We start from the raw sequence: 19,996 nt of genomic DNA on the forward strand, positions 1-19,996 counted from the left end.
AATACTCAGAAAATTGTGACTTTAATGAAAGTGTTAGAGAAGAAATTTAATGGCTTAAAATCAGCTGTGTTATTTGAGAACATAAAGAGAATTTCAAGTCCAAAAACAAAACGGACTAATTATTGGTTCATGTAAATCACTGAGCATGTAGATAATGAATAAACATTTACATGTGTTTACATAATTTTGTATGAACAAATCTCGGAATCTATCCATTCTTTTCAGCAAGTTTTACTGAGTGCCTGTTGGGCCAGGGACGATGCTACTCTTTTCCTATTTAGGAGGTGCAGTGGGAGAGTGAAACACACGCCCAGTGTTATCAGTCCTAGGCTGCCCAACCTCTTCTAGACCTTCTATAGTGATGGGTATTCACTACCCTTCTAGAGCAGCCCATGCCACTGTTGAATCTTCCTAGTGTCCATAGGAAACAAGTAGAAAGTTGGCGAAAATGCAGATTCCTGGAGCCACTCCAGAAATTCTGATTTAGCTAGTGTGCTGTGGGACCCAGGAACCTGTCATATTAACATGCACCTTGGGTGACTCTGGTGCAATTGTTTCCCAGGTGGTTCACACACCAATATTTTGAAAACTACTTGTCCGGTGGAGAGAGAAAGTGTCAATCATGCTGTTAGACCTGATCGGTGAGCTTGAGGCATGCACAGGGCTGAGCCTCCTGGTAGTGAGTCAGAGGGCAGGAATGGGTACCTCAGACAGTCTCCCTGGAATTACCAAGAAAAAGTCACAGTTTTGCAGCCACACAGAAAAAGTCATAGATCACTCTCTCATGAACTGCTTATTGAGTACCAGTTATGTGACATACACTGTTCTTGGTACAGAGGCTAAGCAAAGAATGAAACAGTCAAAAACCTCATCCTTCTTGGAGCTTACGTGCAAGTGGGGGAATAGCCCTCAATTGTGCTCCATTAGTTTCACTCATGCATGCATACATTCATCTGTTTCACAAGCATGGATTAGATCAGGCATTGTAGGGGAGTGCCATAGTTCAGAAATAAACACCACAGTCCCTACCTTCTAAGGAACCTACAGTAAAGGGTGAGAGATGAACTAGTAAAACCTTACAGGACAGTTTATCAAGTGCAAAGATAGAAGAGTCTGGAGGTGTCATGAGAACTCGAAAAGAGCCAATCAAGGAAAGCCTCCCAGAAAAAGTGACAGTATACCTAACTAAGCCTTGAAGGACAAGCAGGAGGTAACAGCAGCCACAGGCACATCTACATGAGAGGAAGACACTGCATGGAGCTCAGCATGATTGGAGCAAGGGTGAGCAGCAGAGAAAACCGATCCAGGAAGCTGCAGAGGCAGCTTGACTATGAAGACAGGATTGTATCCTGACCTCCATGGGGAGCCACTGAAAGGTGTCAAGCAAAATGGAGTAACTTACTCTGATGTGTGTTTTGGAAAGATATTTCTGAGTTCAGTGAAAGGAATGAATTAAGAGGGCAGCGAGTAGAGTCAGGAAATGAGAAGGACTTATTACAATAGAACGGGCCACAGTGACAGGGGCCTGAATACACTAAGGCACTGTGTATGCAGATGAAGAGGAAGGGACAGAGCTGAGAGATATTTAAGAAGCGGAACTGAGAATACTCGATGACTCGTTAGGTGTCAGGAGTATGAAGAATGACAGTCCCTAAAATAGTTGGATGACAATTATGTTCCCAAAATTTCTCATTAGCCTTTCCCTTAGGATTCCCTTAGTTTTCTATTTTTACATCCTCCTGGTTCCTCCCAGTCTTACTGCTGCTCACCATAAGTGAACCGAATTAATGGAGAGTTTGGCCATGGTCTCTGTGGAACAACTTACTCAAGTTGAATCCACATGCTTAAATACCCCAGTCAAATTTAAATTATCTTCAGGGGGTCAAATCAACTAATAAAAAAAAGAATTTAGTGATCATCTAAGGCAGAAAATCCCAAAGAATTGGAAATTCTCCTTGCTGAGTAACTGAATCTGGAGTTCATACAAACCAAATTGCCCTCTACGGTATTCAGAAAATAAGGGCAGACCTGCAAATCCAGAAGAGTGGTTACCTCAAGGGGGCTGGGGGCAATGAGGGCAGAGGAAATACAATTAAAGAAAAGGTAGAGATCTTCCATTATAATTATGGGGTTTTATTCTTTTGCTGGTGGTGTAATGTAAACGTTGACCTTTTTTTTTTTCTTTTTTTTTTTTTTTTTGAGGCAGAGTTTTGCTTTCGTTGCCCAGGCTGGAGTGCAATGACACAATCTCGGCTCATCACAACCTCCGCCTCCCAGGTTCAAGTAATTCTCCTGCCTCAGCCTCCAGAGCAGCTGGGATTACAGGCATGCACCACCACACCCAGCTAATTTTGTATTGTTAGTAGAGACGGGGTTTCTCCATGTTGGTCAGGCTGGTTTCGAACTCCCAACCTCAGGTGATCCACCTGCCTCAGCCCCCAAAGTGCTAGGATTACAGGCGTGAGCCACTGCGCCTTGCCAAATGTTCATCATTTTATACACTGTGTGATGGACCTGAAACGATTCAGACATAACTGAGATCCCTTTAGGGCTCTGCTCACTGTGATCTGGAGAAAAGGTTCCAGGAGACCCTTTAGCAAGTGACAACTGTTTCTTCTTCACCTGGGTACTGGTAGATTCTTCTATATCTGAAGGGATCTTATGCATGGAGAGTAATGTCTGTTGCTAGTTGTATTCTGATTGCTTCTTGATAGACTAAACACATGAACCTAGTAAACAAAACTTTGAAAATCAAAGGAAAACATTGAAAGAAAGACAACAGAGATAAATTTAAGCCAGTGACTTTTATATCACATAACTCAAAGCCCTAGACACTCTCTAGAGACAGACAGTTGAGTGACCCATGCTGTGCCTCCTACCCTGGTTTCCCACCAGTGTTTCCACCTGACTATATATTGTACTGGCTCACCACACAGTAGATTATTATTAATGATGAGTTCTATAGTTTAAAGACATTTCATAAACAATGGATTTTGAAAATTAGAAATTTTAATTTCCTCCATTTTTCCTTCACAGCCAGAATTTAGGCATAGCTAGTTTACTATATACATGCAAACACATATGCGTAATGTATACATACAAACACACACTCACAGTATGGTTAATGACCAAATGGGCCCAACAGAAAAGAGCAATATAAAATTACTGAACAAAAGGCTGGGCATGGTGGCACATGCCTGTAATCTTAGCACTTTGGGAGGCCGAGGCAGGTGGATTACTTGAGGTCAGGAGTTCGAGACCAGCCTGGGCAAAATGGCAAAACCCCATCTCTACTAAAAATACAAAAATTAGCCAGGCATGGCGGTGAGAGCCTGTAATCCCAGCTACTCAGGAGGCTGAGGCAGGAGAATCACTTGAACCCGGGAAGCAGAGGTTGCAGTGAGCTGAGATAGCACCACTGTACTCCAGCCTGGGCAACAGAGTGAGACTCCTTCTCCAAAATAAAATAAAATAAAATAAAATTACTGAACAAAGATCCCATTTTTCTGTTGGTTTGTTAAAGGGAAGAAGCTTTTTTTTTTTTTTAATGTATTGACTTCTCCATAAAGCCTTCTGTGATCATTTTATGCACACTAAGCTCTCACTGAGGGCTGGTACTGATACCTTTTGTGTGAGCTTATAGCTTTCACTCTACTAAGCCCACAATTACCACTCTGGTACTTGTCAAGTCAGCAGATGAATGAATGAAAGATTAAAGTACAAAATAGTAACAAATAGATGAACGGTTGAACAATTTGTCTGGTCAATTTTTTCACACATGAATTATGTTCTGCCCTCATTAAAGTTATGGGTCATCCACAATATGAACACAAATATAAATTTCTGCAGGTGTTAATTTCATAGCCAGAATCCATACCTGACAACATTTTCATGTGTGAACACTTAGAATTAAGGCAAAATGTCTTTCTTAAACTAACATGTTTACCCTTAACAGTAGCAGTATAAACAGACTTAGGTCAGAGATTTGTTAATTATCTTTTTGCAACTAACATCCACTTTGTAGATCTGCGTTACCATGAAAAGGCTTTTATTGGGAAGCATGTTGGGAATCTCTGGTGCATAAATCTCTCAGAATGCAAGCAAAGACTAGCTTATTGCCTACTTTTTGATGACTTTTCTTTCACGAACAAACCGAAAGGGCCACAAGTTGATCACAATAGTTTCCTCACTCAACAGAAAGAAATGAATACTTAATGTTAAAATCCAATTCAGTTACTGTTGGTTGGGCATCTGCTAGCAAAAGGACCGGGATAGATGGAGCAGTGAAGTGCAAAGATATCCACAAGTTGTCAATCTAGGTAGAGTTGCAGGCATTTCATTCTTTGCTTATTTACTTAACTAGTATTTATTTAACATATGCTATGAGCCAGGCACTTTTGCTAAGCCCTGGTGATAGACATATACATACAGGCACGGTCCATTCCTAAAGTGAGTTTGTAGTGCTATAGGTAAGGCAAATATTAAATAATGGGTATACGAACAAATATAAATTATGAACAAAGTTAAATGAGAGAAACAACGAAATTCTATGAAAGAGAATAATAGGGGATAATGTTCTTTAAAGGTAGGGTTCAGATGTGACATTTACAAGAAAGTATCCTTTATGCTGCCTCCTACCTGTGATCCTTATATTTCATGTTATAGTGTGAGTAATAAGGGCTGGTATAAGATGCAGGAAGTTCTGTGGGCATATAGGTTAAAAAGGCATTTAGCTCCAGCTAAGCGATTCTTATGGAAAAGACAGTTTTTTGAGGGAAGTGTCTTTCTTCACAGTTTCCCTGAAAATGGACAGAGATTTCATATGTGAAGAAAACTGCATGAACAAAGGAAGAGAGGAAGAAAAGCAAAGTGTGTCTAGGAAACAGCAAGGAGTTGAGTATAGCTAAAGAACAAGGTATGATAGGGATCAGATTATGAAGGTCCTAGAATGCCAGGCCAAGGAGTGTAAACCTTACCCTATAGGCACTAGGGAGCCATGGATAGCTTATGAGCAGGGTAATGGGATGCTCATACCTGTGCTTTAGAAACCCAGCATGGCACATGAGTGGAGAGTGTTTGTACAAAGGATACACTAAAGTTAGCTAGAACAATGAGATCCAGATGAGATTTTTAAAAGCAAGCAAAATGTCCATGGTTCACCTGAGAATAATGAGGGCTTGACATGGGACAGTGGGTGCAAAAATGGAAGGACATGACAAATGGCAAATGCTGACTAGGTGATCTGCCTGGCTAGACACAGTCCAGTCCTGATGGGCCTTAATAAGTGAGAAGCTTGTGTCAGTTGTGACACTGAAATCTTGAATTTTAGAAACTAGAAAGCTGGTTGTGTCACATCTACGGAATAGATCCTTTGTTTGATTTGGGATATGTTGAATTTGGGGGTTTGCAGAGCCTTCTGTCCTGCAGCCTTTAGAAGTTCAGATCCGTAGCACCCAAGCCAGAATGACCAAGCCAGAGGCGAGTGGCTTGATTCACTGAGGGAGCTACAATCCAGACCTTGAGTCTCAGGGCTCTGCATCTGTTTTGTTTAGCCAGGGAATTATTATAAAATATTTACTGTACTCAAGTCTGGGCCTCCCCTGAGAATTGGGATCACAGCGCCTAACCTAATATTCTCTGATTATTACTGCTAATAATTCTTTATTGGGGAAATCAAATAGTTATAACTTTTCACTGTTGTTGGAAAAGCTTGAGGGGTGAGTCATGTATTACCCATAGAGGAACTCTGTCCACACTAGGTGCGTAGTAAAATTAAGTTCAAATAAAATGCTGTGGAAGAGTGTTTCATTTCAGAAAGGCTTACAGTCATTCCCTTACTGGAAATCAGTGTTAGAGGGCATTAAAAGGCTGTATGCCCTCTGTAGCATTTAATATAAGGGCTCCATTTTTCTTTTAGTCTACATGAGGTTGATACTAAAATTTGTAAGCGGTAAAAGCAGTTGCAGGAGACTTTTTCATTTATGGTACTCTACCATTTATGAAACACACTTGCCAACATTGCTCTTCTGATCCTCACAACAACTCAGCAGAGTTTGTGCTGCTGCCCTTCCTTTCCTTCAAAGAAACTGAGGCTCAGAGAAGTCACAGGTGGTGCATAGGGTCACCTAAGTAGAAAGCGTCAGAGCCAAGGTTGAGTCCAGAGCCTTATCATTGTAAACTGTATATTCGTGTAGCAGTTTGTAGTTAACAATGAACTTTCATGATAACCTGCTAAATTTTCCCAAGGACCCAGTTTGGTAGTCCCTGTTGATACTCTTTACAGCAGAGGGACTTGAGAAGCTGAATGACTTGACAATAGTCACATGAGAGGGGGGAGCTGAGACTCCTAGCCTGGGCACTCTCTCTCCACTCCCCACCCTGGGTGGGCCTCCTTCTAAGACCCCAGAGGGTAGGATCCACTGATTATCATTACTCTCAGACAACCAGGACTCTCATCTGTTCCACACTACAGGACCAAAATAGCTCCCATGAGTTCTTCCTTCTTCACACACCCTAACCCGATATATACTGCTGAGGAAAACATCTTTAAAACCACAGGAGAATCCCTTGAACCCAGGAGGCAGAGGTTGCAGTAAGCTGAGATCACGCCACTGCACTCCAGCCTGGGTGACAGAGTGAGACTCTGAAAAAAGAAAAGAAAAGAAAGAAAAAGAAAAATGCTGACCATTCCTTGAAATTTTTCAAAGATTCCAGATTCAAGTGCCCAAGATTGAATTTCATCAATACATACCTATACATACCACCACCAATATCATCCCTTTCATGGAGTTTACCAAGGGGAAAAAAGCTCTTTGAATGCCAAAGCCAGTCCCCAGTGCCAGTTGCTAATGGCACCTATGTTGTCAGCTCAGCTGATCACTCCAGGCACTAGCCAGAGAACACAGAGTAACCCTTCCCAGCACAGACTGTTGAAAGTAGCTTGAGTATAACTGAGTTACTTTGAGCTACTCATATCGTGGAGCCTGATAGCAACAGGTATCACAAAGCATACTCTGAAAGCATTGAAGCATAATGCAGGTTTTACCAAAAGTTTCTTAATGGAGATAGAGGAGGAGGTTCACATTTTATATTACAAAGCAAAACCTCCTTTAACTCATTCTTGGAAATCTCTCTGTTTCCCCAAAGCACCTTTCTGTATAGCTGCTCCTCCCTCTCTCCTCCTTCCTGCAACTTCTCTACACCCATTCCTCTCCTGTAGCCACTGCTACCATGCCCAGTATCTCTCTTTCGGTAGAGCAACTGGCACCCCTAGCCATCAACCCTACTCAGGAAACCTAAGACTATTCCTTGGGATCTGTTCTCTTTAAAGTTTGGGAACTGTTGAACAGAAAGAGAGAGAGCTGGAGAAAAATACAAATCTAAAAACTGTTAATTTCATTATTGTTCCTGCCCAAAAATACTGACATAACAGCCAACATTTTCTATTCCTGATTCTTTGCATACTTTCTCTCTAACGCTCAAAACAGCCCTATAAGGCAAATAAAGATCTCCATTTTACAGATGAGAATGCTGAGGTTCAGAGGAATTAAAACTACTTACCAGCTACAGATGTAAAGTGGCAGGCCCAAATCTACCTGACTTTAAACCCCATGCATTCCCCAGCACACCGCACAGAGACAGAACATCAGAACATGTTTTGATGTTTTTCCTTTGGGAGCCCTGTCCTCCCAGCCATTCAACTCAAGCCAGCTGCAGCCCCCTCCCCCATTCCACCTTGTGTTTCCTCTGGCCAGAGGGAAAAGGAAGTTTGTCACGTTTCAGCTGATAGACCCACTTCCTGAGCCAGCCCAAGGTGCTGGTGCACACATGGCCCAGCTCTCCCATGCGGAGACCTGCTTAATACCCTCTAGTCACATCTGGGACATATTTAAAATTACCTCTAACCACAACTGCAAAGTAAGATCGCAGAGATTAAGCAAGTGCCATAGGCTTGCTTGCTAAGGTTCAGCATGGGAGATCTGTGTCCCTACTTCCCCTACTCTGGCTCTGACCAGGAAAACTGGGCAACTTAACATGGGAAGTTTGATCCAATTGTTTCCAGTTGAGAGCAAGCGCAGAATCCTTGGTTGTCTTCTGGACTCAGTGACTTCTTGCAAGTGGGGAGCAATGGGAGGTGGTGGAGGGTGAGTTGCGGTGAAGCAATCAGCCTTGAAACTGAACTGGCCCAAGCATGTGTCCTAGCTCTGCCACTCACTATCTGTGTAACCCTGGGTAAGTTACCTAACTTCCCACCTGCAGTGGTGTTTCCTTGCCTGAATATGAGAGAGTTGTTAAGGAGTAATGATAGAAAGCCTGCATCTAAAACAAAGGCTTCAGTAAATGTAATTTATCCTCATTATTATTCCCAGTGGGAGCGTTGGCTCTCTCCTATCCTCCCTAACATTGGGGCAATCTTTTAACCTCTGGGCCCCAGATTTCCTCACCTGCATTGGCTGGTCAGAGGCGATCATCTCTCAGGTCCCTTCCTGCATTGGTTTTCTATGAAGCAACCTCCATTTGGCATTTATTTTCCTGCTTGTTGGCTGAAAATAAATTCACTCATTCCCAAAACCTCTTGGAAAAAGAGGGACTCTGCTTGGCATGGGCTTTCATTGGAAACAGCTCTTCTTTTCCAGAATAGCAATAAAAAGCATGTGTTGTTTGCTGTTTGTTCAAGTTCAGAGGGAAAGAGAAATGGTGAGAGTGACTTCATGGGACAAAGAGACCTAGGATGGAATCGGGGTGGGAGGACAGGTATTTTTAGCATATTAAATCCGTAATCTGGGGCTTTGAGGGAACTTCTACTCTGTGTGGGTTTGCCTAGAGTACACACCTGTTGTGTGATAAAAATAACAGTATGGCATTCTTAGAGTCCTCCATCCTGGAGTGGTAGTCTTCAAATCAGAACCCAGGGAGTGACAGTCAACATTGAAGGGTGCCAAGGATGGGGAGCAGGGATGTGATGAAATAAGTATTAGCCCATGATAGAGAGGAGGAAAAAAGGAGAGAAAGAGAAGCAGTACGATCCGGGCTCTGATCAGCTGGGCCCCTGCTGTTGGCCAAGCAAGCAGGCTTTGCCGGGAGCTTCCCGAAGGCAGCTGTCCAGCCAACCCCATGCAAGCTCCTGCCAGGAGGCATCATTACAGATGAGTGTCTGATCAGCTCCATCGAGATCACATTAAAGGCTCTCCTACCCACCCCCCTTCTGAAAGAGTGTTACCGTTTGGACAGATTTTCAGGGTCACTTTCTGACCCATCTCTGGAAAAACAAAGACTGTCAGACCCCTCCTGACTTATTTGCTAATGGGAACAAAAACCATACATCTTTATTCAAAATAAAGAATGATGCCCAGCACTAGCCCTTGGACTCTTTGAGGGACTTCTGCTTCCTTTTCCCTTGCATGTTCCACTATCCTTTGGCCACTCCTGGAAATAAGTGCCCTTCCAGTTAAGCATGCTTTGACTAATTAATTTATTCCATCTGTTCTTTCCTCTGGAACTTTGACCATGACACAAAAGGTTCTGAAACAGATTTGGTTCTTATATTGATAACCAGGTCACCGATAATGGATGGAGAGTAGAGTATGGAAGGCTGAAGGAAAGGGGCATATAAGTTTTGTCCCCTTACATGTGCCTGGCTTTTAGGCAAATCTCTGATTTATCCAGTCCATTAAAGGCATGGAGACATCTGAAACTGCATACGAAAAAAGCTAATCTCTGCATTGCAAGGGAATTTTTGAAACCTTACCCTATTCAAGTTACTGGTAGAAATAACGAGGAGGAAGAGAAGTAAACAAACTAATGAATAACTGTTCATGATTTATGTTAATAAATGAATAAACACACTAATGGATTTGCCGACCATAAGCCAACTCCTCGACCAGGTGGTTTATTTGTTTTTTAACTCTCAGAACAAGTTTGTGAGTAGGTAGAATAATGCCTGTGTTACAGGCAAGACAGCTATACCTCACAGAAGTGGAATAACTTGCTTTCAGACACTCAGACCTTGAGTGGCAGAGCACAATTCAAATTCAGGTCAGCATCACTCTAAAATCTGCTACTCCTCCCAAGCCACATTGAGACATGTGCATTTCTTTGTTGTGAGTTTGTCTCTTCCAGAATTCTGACAGCTCAGAGTCTTTGGCAGGACCCCACCATGTCTTCAGAGGTGGAGAAAATCAGTGACCACTGCTAGGGTGGGCAAGCTCTCCCTGACAGCTTGGGAGAAGCAAACATTGCCTTCTATGCACAGGCTTCCTTCATTGAGTTAGTCACCTTTATTTGAAGTCAAATGCCATTTATCTAAATTGACAGCAGGTTGCTGATCAAATATTACTGAGTCTTCTCTAGGTGTGAACCTGGGTGAGTTCCTCTGTATACCCTTGGTTAATGCCTTGTGACTGTGGGAGCCAGAACCGAGGAGTCTGGCTCAGTCTAACACAAGGTGACAGCTAACACCCAAAGGAGAAAACAGTCCCTCTCTACTGTTTCCCACATTCCCCATATTTACAGTGTGCACACTGCAAACCCAGTCTGCAATGGACTTTTTAACACACCAGGTGTTACCACTTGGAAAGGTCATTTTTACATTTGCAATCTTTGCATTGTGTTCCCTGCTATGGATTATGGAGCAAGCGAATGAAAAGCAAGCGTCCAGTGTAAGTGTGTATTTGGTTCCTCTGATACCCTGTTGGAAGAGGCTTACCAAGGGAGAGGCCCAGGCCATATGGGCTGGGGTGGGGGTGCTGGTGGCCAGGCTCAGTGCCCCAGAGGTTCACGGTGGCTCTTGGTTGATGTTGAGGCACTCTGAGGGAGTCAGGACAGACTTTCTTCAGTGCAAGAGCAATGCCCGTTCCAGCCTGAAGTCGACTGCGATAACCTTGACAACAGGAACAATGAGCGGCACATCATTTTCCTGAGGATGCATCGGTACACGGAAAGATCTCTGCCAAATCTCATCCCCTTGCCAAGGCTTCCAGGTGTTTCTTTGTATTCGCGCAGAGAACTAACATCATTTTTTCCTTCAGTTCAGAAGAGGTGGTCCAAAGTGTTTAAGCGACAGTAGTTGCAACATGTCAGAGTGGGAATTTATTATCTCAGCCCCAATAGGTCTTAATAAGCCTTACACAACTGTTTAGGCATTTATTCTATTAACGGCTGTTCATTCTGGTGGCTTCACCTGAATATTCATGATCTTCCTATCCCCAGAGCTTCAGCATAGCAGCTGTTTAAAACCCACAGCAAATGTTCAAGAGAGTTCCACAAATATAAACACCCTCACAGCTGAATGTTCCAGCTCTGGCCTCACAGAGGCTAAGCCATGAAACATTTATGTGGAGTGGTTTTTGGAGGGCAGCATTTACAAAACTTAAATAATCTTTCCCCTTTAGGGAGCCCTCAACTCTGTTTGAAACATAACCATGAGGACAAAGGGTCCAGGAGGACCCAAGTCCACGAAGATAACTGCCCCCTCCTTGCTTCCTCCTAGAAATGGAGGTTCTGAATAAATTCTAACAGGAAGGGAGCTAGAGTGAGCTGGGGGTGGGCTGGGTGGATGTGCAACCCACTTCAGGGGAGAGGGCCAAGCCAGTTCCCTGTGAAAGAGTGAGATGGTTTGTACAGGGAATATTTTTACTGTAAATATATCAAAAGAGAAGGCACTGGTGGTGGTTTTTCCAAAGGGATATAACCAGGAATGACAGGATTAAATTAGCGAGAGCACTATATGACATGAAATTTCGTGAGATCTCCCTCTTGAGCATATGTTTCCTGCCTTTCAAGTAAGAATGCAAAGTAGAAAAAGTTCAGGCCCATCTTTATGATTGGACAAATCTCCCCCTTGGGCAAGTCACTTACCCACTTTGTGCCTCAATGTCCTCATTTATAAACTAGAGGGGAGGGGGACGTTGTGTCAAAGAAAATGACAAGGTGATGGCATTGTGTAAACCGGTAATGTATTATAATTAATGTATTAGAAATACACATTCCCATTGTCTTTGACTTATCCAGAGAAGATTTTTAAGAATTAGTTTAAAAGCATAAAGCTAAAGATAAGTAAGCATACTTTTCTAGCCTGTTTGTGGAAGACCAAGCTCACCTTGACCAGTGAGGACAGTAGGGGGAACAAGGATATGGGAATTCAGTGAAAGAACATGGGTTGTGGAGTCAGATTAATGTGGATTCAAATTCCTGCATTACTGCTGCAATTTGGGCAAATAATGGAGCTTTTCTGAGCCCAGTTCCTTCATTTGTAATACATAAAAAATATCTTACACATTTGTCACAAGGTTTGAGATGTGTGCAATACACAGCACAGTGCCTGGCACGACATAGCTGCTCACCAGATGTGATTCCCTTCTCCCACCTCTGCTATGGGAGCACAGCTAGCCTGTCACCCCAAGCAGGCCCACCCCACGGCCCCCTGCCCATGGCAGTGGTGATCTGGGAGCCCACAGTTAGGTGGACAGACAGAATAGCACGGTCGCCAGCCAGAGATTTCTCCAGCCAGTACGCCACCTCTGCAGGTCAAGAATCTGGGTTCATTCTTCCCTGGGAACTCTATGGGCTGAAAAAGAAGGAGAGAGAGAAAGGCTTTTTGAAACTTCCAAAGGAAGATGCCCACCCCCGGTCAAGGCCCCACTGCTTGTGCCTCCCCAGAACGCACGTGGGGAATGCTCACATGTGTTGTGTCATCTGCTTTTTGTATCCACGTCCCTCAGTAGGGAACTGCTTCTCCACCTTTTGTAAATGTCATCTTTGGATTCACATAAAAAAACGCTCAAATCCTTTCATGGTATCTGGAATTCCAAAATAAAAGAAATACAATGCCCAACATCCAGTCAATGTGATGATAATATCAACGTGTTTTTTAAACTGTGCAACCTTTCTCCCTAATACAGCTTCGTATCCCAAGCTTGAAAAAAATCATAATATAAATGAGAATGAGAAAATCAAACATGGTAAAAATGAATTAATGTAAGCGGGTGTCAAACGTTATAATAGAGGAGCAGAGCACGTCCCTGGGAGCATTGAGGAAGAGGGAGTCTGCTGAGAGAAGCAGGGGAAGAGCTGCAGAGAGAAGGGCACGATTTGAGTATACATTTTCTGAATCGAAAAGCTGGAACAGTTACTCCAAGGACAGGCAACTGAATGGACAAAGTTCTTAAGGGAAGGAAAAGGATGATGTGACAAGGAAATGACAAAAAGCTCCTCATGGCTGAAGTGGTTGAGTGGGGAGCACTGTTGGAGAAGGTTCCAGAACTTTGTGCTGGGCTGAGATGCTGGACCCTATCCTGTAGGCAGAGGTGGAATAATATCATCAGAACTCTATTTTAGAAGAAGAATGCATGCATGTGTATGATGTTTAAAAATTGAGTTAGGGAGACCAGAGACAGAGAGATCCTATGCTCTTGATCTCACCCTGCCAATTACCCCCACGAGGTGGCTATTGTTTCTATTTCCCTTTAACAGTAAGGAAACTGGAGCTCAAAGCAGCCCATGACTTGATCTTTAGCTGTTAAGTGGCAGCGCTGAGACTCAAACACAGACCTCTTGATTTCAAGTCAAGGGCTCTTTTTACTTCTCACAACTCATTAGCTACTACAATCACAAAATGCAGACCCTGAGTTGCTTTCAGGGGTTCTGAACTTCTTTATGCTATGGACCCATTTAACATCTGGTGAATCGTGGACCTCTTCTCAGAGTAGCTTTTTAAACACATAAAAGAAAGTGCATTGAGCAACTAAAGTTACTAAGTATGTTGTGATCAAACATACACACATTATCAAATATATAACTATCAAATCCATGTATCAAAATATTTCAAATATTGTGCTATGGCAAGAATAGTGCTTCTGTATTCATGCATCACAAAGCAAGCTCTATTAGAGGGATTAATATCTACCAGAATTTCAAGATAGTGGTAAATGTAAGTAATGTTTCAAGACATCTTCAACAATTGCAATGTGATATGAAGATATCTGTGATTTCTAGAGAGGACAAAGTCCTGGCTTTTGCTAATATTACTGCGACTTGCTCACCATCCTAATTAGTAGACATGATAAATTTCTTTTAGAGATTAGTGAACATAAAGGTGTAATTTATTTTCTCATCCAAATTCAAATATCCCTGAATAATATCCATGAACCCTGGCTAAGAACCTCAGGAAATATTTCAAATTTGAGATAGTCTATAAGGTGATTTCTAAAATATTTAGAAATTAGATCTTTTTTTTTCCCAAATGAACCAAGAAGTAGAATTTCCATGATGAAATAGTTCAAAGCAGAAAAACTCTGGCTGAAGCTGTGTAGGAAGGACTCCCAAGTCTCCTCATTGTGCCTCTTAGACCCACGAACCCCCAGTAGAGCCAACCCATGAGACATCTCCTTCACAGAAAATACTTTGTTATGGTTTCCCAGCACTTGTTGGCTGTGCTCAGCTTTCTCAAGGCAAGGGTCTGGAAAGTTTTCTGGCGATAACAAGCCTTTCCTGAAAAGACACTGCCATTCCACTCTCAGGAAAGCTTGCTTTAAGGGCAGGTTTCTGAACAAACGGGGATCTTCAGGAATACGCCAGGGGTAGCACTGTTCATACACAGGCCTGCTTCCAGTGAACAGTAACGGTCTTGAGCTAATAAGGAAATAATCCATTTTCAGCAGATGAAAGAAGAGGGATCAGAAAGGTAACTTGAGCTGAGGGTAATAATGGTGCCAAAAACTTATAATGGAAACTATCTAAAGAATCCAAGACCCTTTGTTAGATATGAATGATTTCTTTTTTCTGGTGAGAAGTGTATGGAGAACTTGAGAAGAAGGGCCTGAGTGGATTTTATGAAAAAAACCTCTGTCTGGGGAAGAAGGCTTGGGGTTAGGTTGCAGCTCCACTGTATCCTTCAGTTGCGTAACAGGGAGGGAGTTGAAAGATGTTCAGAACACCACAATATGATGTGCTTTGTCTTTGAACTCTTTCTTCCAGATTTTAACTGTAAGTTCATCCATGTTTCCCTGCAATCCCTCTAGGTAGGTGTGCAATAGACAGCAGAGACAGAAACAAATTTAATTAACAAAGAATTCTTAACATTGCACACACCCAGAGTTCCCCGCTTTGAGCGTCAGCATCTGTACTGTAATAATCAGCAAGAATCCACCTAATCAAGATACCTATATATAACAATACTTTAAAGCTCTTAGAGGCAGGATTTTTTAAAACATTGAATGGATTTCATTGAAAATGTCTAACCCCGTCCTTAAATACGAACTGGAACCTGTGGCCTTTACTATCAAAATACAAAGAATTATAAAAGGTATAGAGTGGGCTATCATATCAGTTTATAGTTCCTTTTATTCATTCATTCGTCTAATTATTCAGAAACTATTTATTGAATGATTTTGATGGTCGATGGGCTGAGCGAGGTGCCGGAGAAACATTGCAGAACAAGACCTGGTCCTTGTTCGCATAGAAGACATAGAGAGCAGACAGGCATTACACCAATAATTACTCCATTCCTCCTCATTCTCAGCCTTCAGTGTGACTAAAAGTCATCCAGGAAGCTTGCTTAAAACTACATATTCCAAAATCACCAGACCTGAAGTGGGGCTGAGGAATTAGCATTTTTAATGAGTTCCACGGTGAGTCTGGTGCAGGTTGGTTGAAGAATCGTGTAACTAATGAGGCTACAGAACAGTCTTTCTGCGTTTCCTGTGGCTCCCGAGTCTCCTGTCCCAAGCTTTCCACACAGGAATGCTCATTTCTTGCTTTGCAGCCCTTAGTCTTTGCCTGCACACTTTCTTAGAACTCAGTCTTTAAACACTAGGTCCCAAGCATTAAATAATTTATTTCTAGGGAAAACTCTGATTCCCACCAACATACTCTGAAAACACCTTCAGCATTTTCCTGCAGCTTCCTGTTCCCTAACCTGAACCCCCTGCCACTCCACTTTTTCAGAGAGCTGTATCGTTTCTCTATCCTGTGAGATTCAGCAATGGGAGAATTTTCGCACCCCTTTGGACAGGGAGAGTCACTTTCTGCTTGCAAGGTGCTTAAGTCCTTCCAACAGGAAACCATTCAACAGTCCATCCCACCTGGGTTATCAAAGGGCATAACTTTCACCTCTTCATGCCTCCTGTTACAAACACACGTGTTCGCTCACACATCCATATGCATATAAGTAGGTTTGCATATAAAACTATCTAAATAAAATCTGTCATTTTATTAATGTTATCAAAAGATATCCATTTTCAAATTGTCACGAACAAACCATATACTGCCAGCAGTCCATATGAAAATGTGACTCTTCTCAATTCTATTTTCATAAATCTACCACAAAGGAAAGAACCCCAGTCTCAAAGTATAACGGCCCTTTCTCTTCCTGTAGATAACAGAGTTAGGACCATGCCTTGACATGACCCCGTGCCTGGACCTTACTGTGACTCAGCCCATGACTCCAACAAATTAAGGCAAGACCAGTTTTCATCTCACTCCCAAGCACAAATTGTTGCTGCTTAATAATCTCTGAACCAACTAACTATATCCCAGTAGATTCTAATACTTGTGAAAGTCACTCCTTACATTTTTAATTTCTTCATAACATGGTAATACCTCACTATTAAAAAATTAGGTGCTTAGGGGTGAACTGAATGAATTTGTGAAAAGTGTGAATTATAAAGTATATCTTTTCAGAGAAATTTTGTTACTATAAAATACAACAAAATTAAGTAAGTCTTGCCTAGTGGAAAGCATGCTGCCCTGCCCTGCTTTAATGAGTGAATGAGAATAATTTGTAATTCACATACAAAGGTTGCTGAATTGCTTTTTTAAATGTTCCTAGCATAGGGCACACATGCTTCCAAAGGACACATCACAGGAATTAAGCAAAGCTGGCTCTGTAAATACTCAATAGGGATATTATAAAAGATTTAAGCACTGGATAATTTTTTGAAATCTATATCAGCCAAAAGCTTCCATGATTATGTGACAAACCCAATTTAACGTATCTTTTTTTAAATTTGATAAAATTATTTTGAGTTATCATGAAGTCTAAACTAGTAACACCCAAATTGAAAGATTTTGCTTAACCCAATTACTCTGTTTTCTGATTTTTATAGGAAAGTTCATATTTGGTGTTCTGCCAAGAGCATCATGTTCCATGATCTATCTAACTGAAAAAAAGGAGAAAACTTTACTCCAGAGATAAAGAGTAGCACAATAATAAAATTAGCAACTGACATTTATGTCACAGTGTACAATTTACTTCCAAATGCTATATCTTTTTAAATTCACACTTATTCTGTACAATAAGTAAAGAGAGTTATTATTAATAATTCCATGTTAAAGTCAGAGAATCCAAGAGTCTATAAGCTCTTTCAGGATCGTGGTTCAGGTCTTCTGACTCCAGAGTCTACGTGGTGTATAATAGAAGTTCAATGTGTATTAGTTTAATAAATGAACAAATTAATTAATTAAAGTAATTAAGGATATCCTAGCTAATTTAAAGAAAGAGCTACTAGACAAAGGAAAATAGTCATTTCAACACTAAACAACTCTCAGATGCTTAGGAATACAGCAATCCTATCATAATACATAGCCAGGACTGGCTACATAATTCGCAGGGCCTGGCGTAAAACAAATACATAAGGTCCCTTATTCAAAAATCATTAAGAAATTCAGGAGAGTAACAACAGAGTATTCAGGCACAGGGTCCTTCAAAGAGCAGGGAACCCTGATGACTACACAGATTGTTCATCCTTGAAGCCTGCTCTGCACAGCACATTTTAAAGCTTAGAGCACTAGCTCCTGGAAGAAATGATACCACCTTGTGGATAGCATTTTTAATATTTGGTAGGTGGGCAGGTTCTTGGTTGGTACAAGGAGGCCCTGCTGATTCATAGTAGGCAGGAGCCAAGGATTCTAGAGATCTTCAATGGCAGGGACAGTTCTGAACTATGAAGAATCTTCCTGCTTCCCAGAGAGCTTTTGAATGTTCCACAGATATTCACATGGCTGAAAAGCCTGTTTTTAATTATCTGAGCTTAAAATCTACCTTTGCTTTACATATCTTGAATTTTCCAGGAATGTGACTACCATGTCAATTCTGGAAATGTTGTGTGCTGCTAGTTTAGAACTTTAATGACATCAGTACTTCTCGTGGCATATGAGGCACCAAAGTAACCTACCTGCATCACTCTGCATTTGTAGCTGTCACATCATTCAAAGTGATTCAACATAGTAGTACAAGGCTCTGACTCCTTCATCATATCTTCTGGTATTAGCCATACTTTTACATAAAGGAATATGTATTATTTTATCATAAATTGTTTTCCTTTTATTTCCCCTTTAAATTATAGTTAGAGCATTTTTTTTCCTAATTGGATGAAGGTAGGTTGTAATATTCAGTCATTTCATTTCATGTTGGCAAAAGGAGATTTCAAAATACTTGTTATATAAAGTGGCTTTGGGTATGAAAGAGTTGAGAACCATAGGTTTATAGGCATAAGATTACAAAATGTTTGAGCTGGAAAGAATTTGGGGGATTATCTAATTCACTGACAGATAAGGAAATTGAGGCTGAAACAAATTCTATATCTTGCCTAAGGTCACCCTGCAATTATTGGCAATGCCAGGACTTGAAACCATGCTGTTTTCCAGGACTATAAAAAAAATTCATTCTTTCTTTCTTATTGTCCTTCCTTCCTTCTTTCTTTTCAATAAGTGCAACTGAGCTCCTGCAGGTCAGGCATTGGGGTGGTCTCGATAATGCAGACATGACTAAGACACAGCTCCAGTCTTTAAGGAGATCACAGGCTGTCTGGAAAACAGGACAGAGCCCAAATATGGTACAGCATACCTTAGAGTAAACCTATGTTCAAAACATTACAAGGAGGAAACGACTGATCCTTTTCCTGGGAGTTCCAAAAAGATTTCCCAGCTATAGCGAAATTTGAATACTGAAGTGGGAGAAAGGCTTGGCCCAGTAGGAATAGGGTCGCCCTCATTCTAAGCAGTTGCCCTGCCCAAGTGTGCAAAGCCACAATGGCCAAAACGAGACCATCTGTAATCAGGTATTGACTGCCCACAGCCCAGAGACAGTTGGAGCCCTTAATGGCAAGAGTACAAGTAGAAGCACAGGCTTGTCATTATCTTACCCAACACAGCCCTGAGACCAAGCAGAGGGCAGGGCTGTTTCAGAACACTTGGGACTTCATGAGGTTGACAGGGAGGAGGGAAAAGAAAGGGAAAGTCTCCAGGCAGCTCCCTGGGTTAAAGGGCCTGATAAGCCCCTGGATTTCTGTAGGCACTGGCCAGAGTGCAAGCTAAGAAAATAGCTTGTTGATTGCTGAAGTGATTAAGTGGATCGCCTTATTGATTCTCACCTAGCTTGGAACAGACCTCAATAACCAACATCAAGTGCTTTAATAAGGGCAAAGAAAGATTTACTGGATGTGAGTGCTTTTCATTAGAGAGGACTGAGGGGAAATAAAACATACTGACCCACCAGTGAGGGGCCATGGCATGGCTTCCAGCCTGGTGACTGCCAACCAGACAGGAAGGTGAGTAAGAGGAAGTCAAATGAGACAGCCCCTGGGCCTGAGCTTATCAAAGCATTCGAAAAAAATTTCCACAGATTGCTAGATTGTCTGCTTCCCTTCTGCCTCTCCACACTGCAAACCTCACCACCCAGGAAGCAAGGACACAGTCAGAGTGGCTGCTGCTTACTGAGCCCAAATCCAGGCACCAGCTTGGCCTTTTGGTAAAGATGACCTCTAATCTTCACCTCAACCCTACAAGGAGTGCATAAGTTTCTCCACATTACAAAGAAGGAATCAAAAACTAAAGAAGACACTCAAATGGTGGCACTAGGATTAGAACCCAGATCTCGGCTGGGCCTGGTGGCTCATGCCTGTCATCTCAGCATTTTGGGAGGCTGAGGCAGGAGGACCACTTGGGCCCAGAAGGCCAAGACCAACCTGGGCAACATGGTAAAATCCTGTCTGTACAAAAA

At 42.0% G+C, this 19,996-nt stretch overlaps 1 long non-coding RNA gene across 2 annotated transcripts in view; it reads right to left on the reverse strand.

The window, feature by feature from the left end:
- The window catches only part of NFIA-AS2 (NFIA antisense RNA 2), a 30,497-nt gene that overhangs the window by 1,562 nt on the left and 8,939 nt on the right, over positions 1-19,996 (reverse strand). The window contains exons 3-5 of one of the 2 annotated variants that reach the window (NR_110617.2): positions 12,680-12,797; positions 12,517-12,565; positions 10,706-10,879 (exon numbers count right to left, since the gene is read on the reverse strand). This is a non-coding gene — a long non-coding RNA (NFIA antisense RNA 2). Of the gene's footprint in view, positions 1-10,705; positions 10,880-11,932; positions 12,566-12,679; positions 12,798-19,996 lie in introns of those variants that run through there. The other variant, NR_110618.2, reaches the window with a different exon arrangement.

Source organism: Homo sapiens, chromosome 1 (assembly GCF_000001405.40).
Source record: "Homo sapiens chromosome 1, GRCh38.p14 Primary Assembly".
In the NCBI taxonomy this organism is placed as follows: Eukaryota; Metazoa; Chordata; class Mammalia; order Primates; family Hominidae; genus Homo; species Homo sapiens.